Here is a 14,737-nt window from a genome sequence, read left to right on the forward strand (position 1 = left end):
TAGAATAAATGTGGAAATGGTTGGCTTAAACAAAGTTAAACGATTTCTTTACTGCTGAACCTTACAGATCCTGTATTATGAAAATATGCATGTAGATCAAGACAAAGATACTACATTTGTGGATTTAACCACAAAATTACTTTTTAAGGTAGTATCTATTAACATTATGTGAACTAGTACTCTGTAGAAGTGGTTAAGAAAGGCTTGATCCAAATCCTAATTATGCCACTTAAAAGCTGTGTGACCTTGACAAATTACTTGTCTGTGTCTCAGTTCCCAATAATGTAAAATGGGCATAAAAACACCTATCCTCAAAGCATACTGATATCTGTGATTTACTTTGAAATGCATTTTTTAAAATAAGATAAATTTATAAATAAATATAGCTATGAACACATACGTCAAAAGCAAATACAACAAAATATTAATTGCAGAATTTAGGTAGTGAGTATAAGGGTATTCAACATACAATTCTTTCAAATTCTCTGTATATTAGAAAATGGCCATTATAAAATGACAGAAAACAAAATAATACCCACTACATAGAATTTAATGAGGATTAAATGAATCAAATTTATATGGTGCTTGCTGTGTGCCAATAAGCAGTATAAGTGTTTGTAAATAAATTAATGCTTTGGGACTACAACTTTAAGAAAATAAAACTCAACTAACAACTTTTAGAATGAAAAGCTTTGGGGCATAAATAATTTCAATGTCTTTCCAAAGTTTAACTAAACTCATAATTTAAAATTTTTAAAAATTGTGGTCAAAAACACATAACATAAAATTTACCACCTTAACCATTTTTAAGTATACAGTATTGTTAACCATATGTACGTTGTTATGCAACAGATCTTTAGAACCTTTTCATCCTGCAAAATAAACTATATCCATTGAACAACAATTGCCCTCTTCCCTCTTCTCTCAGCCCTGGGAACCACCATTCTATTTTCTATTTTTAAGAGTTTTACTATCAATGTATAATTTTATAGTAAGAACAAGTCAATGTACATGGCCCAGCCTAGAGTTCACATTGACATCAGTATAGATCTAAAATGAATATCAAAAACATAGGTAGTATTCTAAAATAAACGATGGCTTATCTTTAATATGTCAAGTAGATTTTATAAAAAGCCAAACTCATAAGAGACAACCACTTTTGAAACAATGATTTGGCTCTCTTCTAATGTTAAATTCTATTATTTTATTATGTAAAAAAGCTTAAGAGATTATTAAAGAGTCATGTGTCAAAAATAATTACTCCTGGTTCTTACTATTAGGAATCCTTTTTTATTTACTGAGATATGTACAAGCCCAGCTTTCCAAAAGCATTGTTCATATACTAGATTATATCTATATTTATATTTGCTTTATATTTATATATTACTTATCTATATTTGCTGCTACACTAAGAAGATAAGGAATTATTTTTTGATACACAGAATTAACTTTCATAGGAAATTAAAAGAGGTTATAAATTAATTACACTTTCTTTTACAAAGTATAGTACCCAGGAAACCCTAGTCATTCACAAAGGTTGTTCAGATGATCTGTGAAGGGCTGTTTTTGTTCATAATCTACTACCTCTATTATTTTGTTTCTGACATAAATTAACACTTTGGCTGCTACAGGAGCTCAAGTCTTCTCCAACCTCCTATCCCCAGGGCTCCAGATGAAGGGTGCCTTCTGTACTCAGGGTTGAAGGTTTCCAGGTAATGAGAAGCAGCTCAAGGTATGTTCTCTTTGGCTCCTCCTCTCATTAATTTAGCAGCTGAGAATTTCATTTACTCTTTTTATTGCTTTTCCACCAATACTGTTCCCAGGTGGCTGGTAGGTAAGGCAGAGCTCTTCTTTCTCCCATACCTCAAGTCCTAGGTCTTAGGAAAACTCAAGAATGCTGGTCCTGAAAAGAGCTTAGCCCTGGGCTTATGAAGAAAAACCACTCTCTTCCACCTCAAGTTTCTGATAGAGTTTAGATTTCTTGGAATTTTCTTGCTTAAGAATGGCAAGATTCCAGTAAACAATCTTAAAGGGTATCTGCACAGGGCAAAGGGACAAGTAAGTCCTTAAGCAGGTCCATGTGATCCAGCCCAGCTCACCAAGGTCAAGGTTTCAGTTTGGGGTACAGAACCAAAGATCAAGCTTGCTATCATGTATTCCTTTATTTTGTCTTCATTTTCTTGTTTTTTGTTTTGTTTTTTGATTTTTTTGAGACGGAGTTTCGCTCTGTCGCCCAGGCTGGAGTGCAGTGGCGCGATCTCAGCTCACTGCAAGCTCCGCCTCCCGGGTTCACGCCATTCTCCTGCCTCAGCCTCCCGAGGAGCTGGGCCTACAGGCGCCCGCCACCACGCCCGGCTAATTTTTTGTATTTTTAGTAGAGACCGGGTTTCACCGTGTTAGATCTCCTGACCTCGTGATCCACCCGCCTCAGCTTCCCAAAGTGCTGGGATTACAGGCGTGAGCCACCGCGCCTTCACTTTCTTAATCTCACCTGGGAACCATGCAGTTGAAACTATGATAGGGTAGGATACAGAAATCTTAATCCTTACAATAGTCCTCAAAGTTATTGTCTGAGACTGTCAGATAACATTCCTTTGGTTCTTGTCTTTGCTCAAAGGAAAAATTAAAGACATCTGAGCACCAAAAATCTATAGTTAACGTATTTTTAAATTTTACTAAGGTCCAACTTACATACAATAAAATTCACTTATTTAAATGAACAGTTTGATGAATTTTGGTAATTTTACATAGTCATGGAGCCACCACCACAAGCATGATATAAAACAGTTCCAGGCCGGGCGCGGTGGCTCACACCTGTAATCCCAACACTTTGGGAGGCCGAGGCGGGTGGATCACGAGGTCAGGAGATCGAGACCATCCTGGCTAACACAGTGAAACCCCGTCTCTACTAAAAATACAAAAAAATTAGCCGGGCATGGTGGCGGGCGCCTGTAGTCCCAGCTCCTCGGGAGGCTGAGGCAGGAGAATGGCCTGAACCCGGGAGGCGGAGCTTGCAGTGAGCCAAGATCGCGCGCCACTGCACTCCAGCTTGGGCGACAAAGTGAGACTCCGTCTCAAAAAAAAAAACAAAAAAACAAAAAAACAAAAAAACAGTTCCATCACCCTGAAAAGTTTCTGTTCCATTACCCTGAAAAGTTTCTGGATGTCCTTTTGAAGCCAATCACTTCCCTGGTAACTAATAATCTAATTCCAGTCATTACAGTTTTAGCTTTCCTAGAATTTCATATAAATGAAATCATGCAATACATAGTTTCTTGGCTTTCAACTTCATTTACTTGGCCTACAGTCTTTGAGTTTCATCCAGGTTTCTGACAGTCTACTATTTTTCCACCAGAATCTTCACAGTGTGGGCTGTACTTAGCCTTTACTTTACTTCAACTACTGCCATCATAAATTAATCTAAAAGAGTAAAATAAAAATTTAAAAGGTGATATGATATAGGCCCATCTCAGAGCTCTTGAACTTAGCAACCACATGTTTTTGTTGTTGTTGTTTTTTGCCCCTGTTCCTGACTCTGAGTCTTTTCCATTACATCTACTGGCAAAGTAAGTAAACACACATATGAGAGCAAATCAGTAGTAAGTAGTATCATATTTAGGCATGGGGGAGTATTTGTCCATTATAAAGATTTTTTTCACTGTGTTAATGACAAAACACATAAGAAGAAATGGTAAATATCATATTATATAGAATCCTAAGCAATAAAAAACACATATTTGAGCATGTGAGTCTAGGTGTCTAAATAGTTTTCATTCCTATGCTATTATTTTGTCATTGTGATTAAAGCTTTTGTGCATGAAAGTCTAAAAATAAATCACATTTCTCTTAATTGTTAACCTAAGAACAAGAGCTCAAACTTCTCTACAATAATATTAACAGTATTAGAACAAGACTTATAATATTTACACATTTATTTCACCCTACAGGTGAAATAAAACATCAACCAATTGCTGAAATCTGTATGTGTGAGTCATTCACATGCTTTAGTAAAGCCCAAAATATGCTGCTCAGATGATGTGGAGCTACCTGCATGCCTAGATCAGACTGTGCCAGAAACAGACCTGTTAGAATTGTACACTGTCTTTCTTCACACTCAAAAGGAGATGGTACTTTAGTCTAGTTGTGGGAAAAAAGGACTTTTGCTCCTTTTCCTATGCCAGGCATGCCTTTGCCCAACCCCCTTTCTAGTTCTCCCCAAAGGTAAGAAACGTGACTAATTCATTTATTCAAGAGTCCAAAACTCCAGATGGGCACAATTAATAGGTAGACTCACTGTGTTAAAAGATCAGCCTCCCCACAAGGCCTCTTTGGTTTTTTTGCCTCAAATTTCTTCCATGGCCTGACAGATTGGCCATTCTCTTGCACTTCTCCCTTCAACATACATAGTAGTTAGCTAAGCAGATTCAGGGGTTCTCCTGGGACCTGGTTCTATGATCTGAATGTTTGTATCCTCCAAAATTCATATGTTAAAATCCTAATCTCCAAAGTGATGGTATTTAGAGATGGGGCCTTTGGGAGGTAATCAGGTCATTAGGGTGAAACTCTCATGATGGATTCAGTGCCCTACAAGAAGAGACAGGACAGACTATGCTTCCTCTCTCTCTGCTTTCCCTATGCAAGGACACAAGAAGACTGCCATCTGCAAACCAGGAAGTGGGCCCTCACCAGACACTGGAGCTGCCAGCACCTTAATCTTGGAATTCCCAGCCTTCAGAACTGTGAAAAATAAATGTTTGTTGTTTAAACCAGATAGTTTATGGTGTCTTTGTTAAAGAAACCTGAAACTAAGATACCTGGTGTTTCTTCTCCATTCTAACCTTTTTTTTTATTTTTTAGTAGAAACAGGCTTTCACCATGTTGGCCAAGCTGGTCTCGAACTCCTGACCTCAGGTGATCCGCCTGCCTCAGCCTCCCAAAGTGCTGGGATTATGGGCATGAGCCACCGCACCCGGCCCATTCTAACCTTCTAAGTCACACACCTGAACATGCTGGTCTCAAGATTATAATTAGATGTAGTTGGAAGGGAAGTAGGACACCTCACTTAGGCCTTAAACCTAAACTACTGCACCAATGCAGCTTCTACAGAAGAGTTTTACATTGGTGTGTTGGATGTTTGCACAACTCTTATTAAATTTGTTACTCTGATTCCCACCAGCTACTTGTGCCTTGCAGATGGATCACTCATGACTCTGAGGGAAAAGAGGGGCCTGGGAGAGCAGAGTTTGGGCATTTGTGGATGTCTGACTATAACAGCATAGTGGCACCAAAACCTTACCTTCAGCCTCTAAATCCTAACTTAGAAAAATATTAACTCCTTCCCATAGAAAGAATGCCTTATGAAAACTTTTGACAAATATACAAAACAACAAAGAGTATCAACAAACTAAAAACTTAGAATAGAGCTAATCAACTGGTACACAGGAGTACGACCATATCAGTTATTTGTTTCTGGTGTCAATTCTGATGACCACATGAGTTGTTAAATATTAGTAAATTTGGACTAAATCAATAAATATTTTAAATCTTTTCAAGGTCTACTTCAGGCTTATCTCTGTTGTGAATCAGCTTAAACCATGCTCCTCTCAAAAGCTCTTAGAATTTTTTTATATTAATGCCTTAAGTTTAATCATTTAGGGAAAAAGAGGTGTAAATAGTTTTAATGCTCTCACAAAGCAATTTTAACCATTTTTTCCATGAATTTTGTGAAATCCCCTCACAGGTACCTTTTCACATTCCCATCAACAGTGCAAGAGGGTTCCAATTTCTCCACATTCTGTCCAATACTTACTATTTTGTTTTTTTTTTTGGTAGTAGCCATCCTAGTAGATATGAGGTGGTGATTGATGTAATTTTAAAAACAGTAAACTTAAGGATAAAAGGAAAATTGTCTTTTCCTTCAGATTTAAATAACTTTGTTGTTGTTTTCTTCATAAAATTATCCAGGTTCACTGTTTTTTGAAAAAATAGGCCTAAAGCAGACCTTAAAAATCTCCCATAATCCCAACACTCAAAGGTAACTATTGTTAACCCTTGGCATGGTCTTCCAGGATTTCAGCCACAAACCTATGATTGATAAATGGCTTCCTAACTTTCTAAGCAATGCTATTGTAAGTATAATTTGTATAATAATTTTTTAAAGTTGTGAGATGTTTAACTTGGAACTTCCCACTCCTATGGAGGAAAATGATCGGTAAAAATGCATTTTTCACTCTGTTGCCATAGTTTCAGCTAAGCTGCACAAATGTAATTGCACAGAGCATGTGCTGAAATCATTTGATTAGATCCAATGATTCACTTATGTTAAAGGCTTAATTTAAAAGCACTTTTACAATTAAGGTAGAAATAAAGAGAACAATAATGCTTTTGAAGCCATTTCAAATACATTTCACAGTATATGCTAAGGCACTCATATGCCAGATTTTATTCAATGAATTAATCATTTATTAAACTTGAAATAAGATATGAGAAATGTAAGTTAATAAACAGGCCTGTGGAGTATGTGGACATGAAGGAGAATATCATGTGAAGCTGGTTAGAAAAGCTCATTGAGAATACAGGTCCCCATTTACTCAACAGTCAAGAGTGCCTACTAAAGGCCAACGTTCTGGGCTACGTGTTAGGTCTTTAGCTAAGAAGTACAGGATTTGTACTGGCAAAAAAATGAGAGGATGGCTGGGAAATTCTGTACTGGAAGAACAGCTGGGGCAAAGGTATAAGTAGAAATAACTATGTTACTACGAGAGAATAATAAAAAGACTGTTCTAACTAGCTATAATGAATTTATGTGAGAAAAACATAACATAAAATAGGTATATGGAACTAGCTGGCTCAAAACCTGGAATGCCAGACTAACTAGTTTTAATTGAATCCGTAAGTAATAATGGCTCTTCACTACATAAAAGTAATGTTTTAGAAAAATTCTCCTGGCAGTAATGTACAATGTGCATAGAAGCAAGGAAAAATGATTGCTAAAAAACAATGAGGTATTGCAGTAAAAAAGATGTGTACTAATGAGGGTCTGGTCTGAGTAAAAACTAGAGGAAAGAGTGAACCCAAGAATCACTGTAATGCTCAGTTTAAGAAACATTCATTGAATACCTGTCTTGGGTGCTGAAACTACAAAAGGCACAGGACAGGGTCCTCACTTTCAAAGATAAATTAACTCAATTTCTGTTCCATTTTTTTCCCTATTGGCCCCTGCTATGGTGTGAATGTTTCTCCTCAAAATTGTATGTTGAAATCTAATCCCCAGTGTGTTGACATTAAGAGGTGGGGCCACTGGAAAGTGATTAGGTCACTAGGGCAGAGCCCTCATGGATGGGATTAGTGCTCTTATAAAAGAGGCTAGAGCGAGCCTGCTGGCCCCTTCCACCATGTGAGGACACAGCTAGAAAACATCATCTATGAAGCAGAGAGCCCTCACCAGACACTGAACCTCCTGGTGCCTAGAACTGTGAAAAATAAATTTCTGTTGTTTATAAATTACCTAATCCAAGGTTGCTGGGCTTTTTCTTTTAATAGAGACCGAGTCTCACTATGTTGCCCAAGCTGGTCTCAAACTCCTGGCTCATGCAACCCTCCCTCCTTGGCTTCCTAAAGTGCTGGAATTACAGGCATGATGCCTGGCCATGTCTAAGGTATTTTAATTATTGTAGCCTGAACAGACTAAGACAGCCCTATATCTAAAGCATAAGAAATGCAAGTCTGGTGAATGGCAGTGTTACCAACAGAATAAGGAAGTCAAAAGGGGAAGTTTTTTGGTTTCAACACTGATTTTGAAGAATGGCAGAAAAAAACCCCAAAAGAGCTTTCATGTAGGCAGCTCTAGACAAGGAACTAAAGTTCTGCAGAGACATCATGCACAGAGTTACTAGGAGAAAGGCAATGGCTAAAGCTTTAAGACGAACGCCCTTCAAGAGACCACAGGAAAGGAAAGGCAAGTCTTGATGATTACCTAGAGTTATGAGGCAAGAAGAAAAAGAGCCAGAGAAGTGGTTCAACTAACCATGTATGAAATTCAAAGAAAGAACATCAAAAAAGAAGTATCAATGCAGTCAAATGCAGCAAGAAGGTGGAAGTGCATGAAGACTGAGACACTCTAATTTGGTTAGGTCAACAGCGATTTTTTTTTTTTTTTAAGAACCATTAATAGGGGAAGAATGAGAAAAAAAGCCAGATTTCAAAAAGCATAATGAAGGAAGTGAATTTTTACTACATTTTTTACTAAATTTTTGAAAGTTTACTAAACTTTACTAAATTTTTTAAAGTTTAAAAGGAGGAGATATTATTTTTAAAAATAAAACAGTCAAAACAGAATGCAGATTATTTGTATGATGACCTACCTTGACATACCATGACATGACTGTTAAATAGGATAGTGACCACAGAAATGACCCCCTTTGAACTATAAAGTCAAACAGCACTGGCTGGACTCTAACCATTCAGGCCGTAAGCTGGGGAGCTAGAAAATTCTTCCCAGAATAAAAACAAGCTAGCTCCAAGAACCATGGAGATTTCATAGAGCCATAATATCCCGGATCATCAAATTGTTCAATAACATTGCAAGTCACATCTAACCTTTTAAGGATGGTTTGAAACCCCTAATGTCAATGTCAAAATGGGCATCTAACAGCCCAAATAAAAATCCAAGCCTCAGCATAAAAGTATGTGAATAGAAAAGCTTAAGCCTAAAATTTACACAGGAAGGTTGCATTATAGGGGTGTGGATGGAAAAACAAAACAATAACAATTCTGTTCAAGGAATGAGGGTATAATGAAAAGGAATACAGGGGAAATGGGAAAGAATCATATGAAACTTTTTTCCAACTTAAGACAGATGACAGAGAAAACCCATGGGAAAATGGAATGTAGGAAAGGCTAGAAAAAGTAGAGATGGGAGGGTGGTTCCTAAGGGAGCAGGTTCTTCACGCAGTGATAAATAATGGGATCCGGGACAGAAGAGACTCAAGAATTCAAGAACAGAGAGAAGGATATGTTAAGGTGTCAAGGGCAGGAAAAAAACAAACCATAGGCTTTCTCACCAACACAAATGGTCTCTGAAGGAAGTACCAGAGAAGCAGTACCCTGGAGCAACAATAGAATGCCTCAGCAGTCAGCTTGGCCAAAAACACACCTCAGAAGATGAAATGAGATCTATGCAAAGTCACCTTACGAAATACAAATCACTGTATGCAGATCAGAAGAACTTGAACTTTCCTAATCAAAAGAACAAAAATGTATAAAAGAATGGACAACAAAAGATAGACTGGACAAAATGGAAACTAAAAAACAGGCCAGGCACGGTGGCTCATGCCTGTAATCCAAGCACTTTGGGAGGCCGAGGCGGGTGGATCACGAGGTCAAGAGATCGAGACCATCCTGGCCAACATGGTGAAACCCCGTCTCTACTAAAAACACAAAAATTAGTCAGGTGTGGTGGCAGGCGCCTGTAGTCCCAGCTACTCAGGGGGCTGAGGCAGAAGAATCGCTTGAACCTGGGAGGCAGAGGTTGCACTGAGCTGAGATCGCGCCACTGCACTCCAGCTTGAAGACAGAGTAAAACTCTGTCCCAAAAAAAAAGAAAAGAAAACTAAAAAACAGAATTCTAAATTGGGCAATGTGTTTCTAGCACTATCCATGGGACAATCTAACCTGTCAATTCAAACATCAGGTTCCCTATCATGGAAATTGCTGTATCATGCTCTCAAGCTTTACTGTCTTATTAGACCACTTGACCAATTCCTTTTTTCTAATTCCATTCTCACCATGGAAAGGTACCAATTGAGTCCTTCCGTCCTTTGCTTATAACTATAGCTGTAAGCATGAAATCAAAATATGAAAAGACGAATAGCATAATGATCCAGTGTTGAATGACTCCTATTTGCCACTATCAAGGCACATTTAATTAACAGCAATATATACATAATACTGCAGTAAGTAAACCATGGCCTACTCAATTATTTTCTAATTTTTTTATTTCAGAAAAAAAGGAGAACAATTATAAAAAGTAACATTGTAAGATTTAGTAGTGAATGCAACAGAAAGGATAGAAACGTATCGTTTGTTGCAGCTAAACTTAAATAAGCCATAATTTATTATAAATGATCTACAGAACATCAATTTCTAAAACTTAAATTTTGTTCAAAACCTTATCCAATTTTCAGTTACTTGACAGATTTTTTTTTCTTTGAGACATCAGTTCATCAATTAAAACAAAAAAGAGGGAAACAAAGCCTAATATGTTAGTAAGAAAGTTCCTACTTTTGGCAAAGAAAGGAGTTTCAGTCCTAGCCCTTATTCCCTATTCCTCAATAAACAGTTTCACTTTCTCCGTTCCAACACTTTTGGTATTAATGAAATCTCAATACTAACCTCTAATTTTCAAGTTCTGGTATGAATAAGATCATGACACTGTATTGCACATATTTTTGTCTTTTTAAAACTGTTCCTATGTTATGAACTATGACAAAGAAAGTCTTCAGGGGAAAAAAACAACTATATATGGTAATCCTATCTTCCGAACACTAGCTACTCTCATTTTTATATGTTCAATTCCAGTCTTTTCTTGTTGTATGTGTACTCTAGTTGTTACATTGGGCTTACCAGCCCCTTATAATCTACACTCAATACTCAAATCTGCAGTGCCAAGGCCTGTGCAAGTCCAAAGCCTCCCCTGTCTGCCCAGGTTTCCCTCAATTACTGGGAGAGCTGACCTTCTCAGAACTCTTAGAGCTACTTGGTCACCAACGCTTTTATGCACTGCAATAATCCAGTGAGGACACAGCTCACCAACTTCTACACAAGATAAACAAAAACCAAACATGTTCAAAAAGCATTCCTTAGCATACCAGACTTCAGTGAAGATTTCTGAAGCTAGGCAAAAGAGTGGTACACCAGGCAACAGTTAAAACAACCCCCTCAAAAGGAGCTGGAGGAAGGAACCTTCTCAATCTGTCTTTCCATCATCCAACCGTGGGGAAGGGGATCTTTATCTCACCTATCCCTGACCTTACATCACTTTTCTGACTTGTTTTCTCTCTCCTCTTCCCTATTAGGAATAAGACCAGCAATCCCATCCCCTTGTTTGCTCTACTTCTTCTGACCTCTCAGACCCTGTGAACATCCATCCTCACAGGACTCCCTATCCTTAAGTGAGCTTGATGTCAAGGCAATGCCCCCAGTGTACCTCCCTTCATATAAGGAATTCTGGTGTCCACTGATGCCATAAGACATTTTTCTTCTCTTTCCCTATTTCATAGGTTTCACGTAGTCACCAGACTCTACATGTAAGCTATAGTATATTAATTGAACAAACATCTTGAATGCTTACTTATATCCAACATTGTGCAAAGCACTGACAAGACTGGAACAGACATACTCCCTGACCCCAAGCAGCTCAGGGTCCAGAGGGGACACTCAGGCAGGTGACCAAGTCCAAGGAACAAGCACTATTAAAGAGAAATGAGGTAAATAGTACCAGAAGAGCATAAGAGAGCATCTCAGCCCATCTGAAGGTTTGGAGAAGTTAGGCAGCTAAGGAACAGCAGGGTAAAAAAAAAAGCTGTGAGTAGGAAGGAAAAGCATACAGAAAACCACCAAAACAACAGAGAACATGGCATATCTGAGAATCTGCAATTAGTGCAGACAGGCAGATGCATGGGAAGGAAAGGGAAAAAAGGCACTGCAAGACACCAGGCAGGAGCCAGCTCACAAAAGAATCTGTGTTTGATATGAAAAAGTAGTATTTTATTTCTTCCCATCTAAAGAAGGCAAAGGAGAGGCAATAAAAGATTTTAAGGAGAAGATTATCAGTTCTGCATCTTAGAAAGACCAGCAGCAGCAGCAGCGTGGAAAACAAACTAGAAAGGAATTGAGATGGAAAACAGTGAAGCCAATGTACAGGTTGAAACAACAGTCAAGGCCAAAATTCATAAAGGCTACACTAAGCCACTGAAGGTAGGGAAAGGGAGGAAGACGTAAATTCCTCAATATGTATTCACTAATTCTACTCAGCACAAAGAGAAAACATTGGAAAGTACTAAAATTAATCTATTCTGAATAGTTGCAGTGCAATCATTAAAGTTCACAATGATAATCCTGGTGACCACGACGTCATAAAGTACTAGGGATAAAAAATAAGATCAACTTTCCAAATGTTGTGCATGAACTGTTAGCATCTGTTAAAACTCACAGAACCATATGCCAAAAAGAGTGAACTTTATTGCATGCAAATTATAACTCAAAAGAAAAAATTAGGGCTTTAAAGTAAAAAACATGAATGTATTTTTAAAACATGAGTATTATAAGGCCGGGGTACGGTGGCTCACGCCTGTAATCACAGCACTTTGGGAGGCCAAGGCAGCCGGATCACGAGGTCAAGAGGTCGAGACCATCCTAGCCAACACGGTGAAACCCTGGTCTCTATTTAAAATACAAAAATTAGCTGGGCATGGTGGCGTGCACCTGTAGTCCCAGCTACTCGGGAGGCTGAGGCAGGAGAATCGCTTGAACCCGGGAGGCAGAGGTTGCAGTGAGCCGAGATCACACCACTGCACTCCAGCCTGGGGAATTGAGATAGACTCCATCTCAAAAAAAAAAAAAACAAAAAACAAAAAAAATGAGTATTATAAAGAAATTTTCAGACTCAATCAGGATTTTCTTAATGTTTATTTGGTTATAATTTTGCAAGCATATTATTTACTTATCAAAGTTAATCCTTACTTATTAGAAAAACTGCTTATTTCTAAATAGCGATATAAAGTTCCTAAGGCTTATTTTTCTAAACGCACATATTTTTGATACATCTTATACTACATCCTCTAAAAAAATCCCTTATTTTTATAAAAAACATGTATTAATGCACTATTGTTAAATATTTCAAGTTTTTACATATTTGCTTTAATAATGTGATTTAATAGCACATTATTTTTTCATATGCAGCTTTATAGTTTATATTTGATGACCATAAACTTTATAAAATGTTTTAAAAGTATATGAAGTATCTATGGGATTTCCAAATGAAGATGCCAAGGAACACTAATTTGTTGTAGTCAAATTATTTGAAAATGTACTATTATTATAAAACAAATAGTTTAATTAAAAGAATGGTTAATTCAAATACTTCATTTCCTGACCATGTCGTATGTCTGAACTTAATATACACAAAAATGTGAAGAAAAAGATTTAGGGAGCAACAGAGTAAATCAAAAGGATTGCACAGAGGTTTTTAAGATTTACTTTCAAAAGCTAGTTCCCTCAAGTGTTAGTTTATAAACCATTAACTATTTGACAGGTTGGAGACAATCACACCTGGAACCCGAATCTAGACATATAAAGAACAGATACATTCTATCTACACTCAGCACAGCATTCCTTATCCTCAAATTAAGGTATACCTTCATTTACAATAGAAGTCTTGCTTCAGTATTTTTGCAAGCAAAAATTTGATAACTTGTGAATGATTAAAAAAAAAATTAAACCATTACAGCAAGGCAAACATTCCAGCTTCCAAAGTGCTACCAAATTTATTTTGTTTATTATGTTTTGAATTACACTTTTCATACAAGATATAGTTTCTTATAGTCCAAAGTACTATTTCCAAGGATAAGATTTCAATTTGATGTAAGAAAATATAGCAGCACTTTGTTCCTCCTAAGTCATAACCTCATTTTTCCACTGCAGTTCTACTGTCACTTCTACACGTAATTCTATTGTGAGAAAGTACTTTATCAACACCTTTTCCTTTTTCTGTTTTCCAGACTACATGCTGCTAACAGTGCCAATTTGGTTTCTATTAGCACAGAAATGTGGCAGCCTTACATCAAATAACAGTTTGTAATAACTTGTTCTTACAGCAATAAACTTTCATAGGACTACAGCCAACTCATTTTTCAAGAATAATCCTACTTTTTAAAAAAATGTTAACTCAGTGAGCTATATAATCTAATACTATGAAAACTGGTGACCAAAGAAACTAGATTCACCTTGTCTTGTCCCAGCCTTCATTCAGCTTTCCTTTCTTACCTCATTCTAACTGTTTAATCAACCACAACTGCCCTCCAACCCCAATTCTGAATGTAGAAGAAAAAAGTCCAGGGGTGCTGTGGTGGGACTTAGAGGCACTAGAGAGCTAGAGCAGTGTGCAGCCCTGGTGTCCCCTCCTGCTCTCATTTCAAACATGAAGTGTGTAACCCACTCCCCTGAAACGAAGTTAAGCAATTAATGCTTCTAATTTTATGGCAAGGGTATCAGCACAATTATGTTGTCATATAAAAGTCAGACATTTAGTGCCTATAAACACAACTACAGTGCTCACTGGTAAACTAATTTTTTTTTTCTTTTCTTTAGAGACGGGGTCTTACTACATTGCCCACGCTGGCCTTGAACTCCTGGGCTCAAGAGATCCTCCTGCCTCAGCCTCCCAAGTGGTCAATTAATTTTTTTAATTTTATTTTTAAATGATTTAAAATGCAAAGTTGCCAAAATAAGACAACTGTCATATTCATAATCTTTTTGCTTATTCAAAATAACCCTTTGTTCATAATCACCAATTTTTAACATTCTGTCATATTTTTCTATCTTATTAATACACTCATACATACTACATACTACTTTTTTGGTTCTAGGGTACCCAGATATTTAGTTATGTGTGTGTTGTGTGTTTCTGTGAGTTTTTTTGGATAAGATCAATATTTAAATCACTGGGCTTTAGGCAGAC

General features: G+C 37.2%; 1 protein-coding gene across 14 annotated transcripts in view, besides 2 other annotated features; it reads right to left on the reverse strand.

The window, feature by feature from the left end:
• The window catches only part of RPS6KA5 (ribosomal protein S6 kinase A5), a 212,781-nt gene that overhangs the window by 154,033 nt on the left and 44,011 nt on the right, over positions 1 to 14,737 (reverse strand). The window lies entirely within an intron of this gene.
• Positions 7,696 to 7,745: an enhancer, noted in NCBI's record as "active region_8885". NCBI's record gives its function as "activates an Ori minimal core promoter by ATAC-STARR-seq in GM12878 lymphoblastoid cells {active_cell/tissue: GM12878}" and the evidence as "EXISTENCE:reporter gene assay evidence [ECO:0000049][PMID:35858748]".
• Positions 7,756 to 7,965: an enhancer, noted in NCBI's record as "active region_8886". NCBI's record gives its function as "activates an Ori minimal core promoter by ATAC-STARR-seq in GM12878 lymphoblastoid cells {active_cell/tissue: GM12878}" and the evidence as "EXISTENCE:reporter gene assay evidence [ECO:0000049][PMID:35858748]".

This window comes from Homo sapiens, chromosome 14, assembly GCF_000001405.40.
Source record: "Homo sapiens chromosome 14, GRCh38.p14 Primary Assembly".
In the NCBI taxonomy this organism is placed as follows: Eukaryota; Metazoa; Chordata; class Mammalia; order Primates; family Hominidae; genus Homo; species Homo sapiens.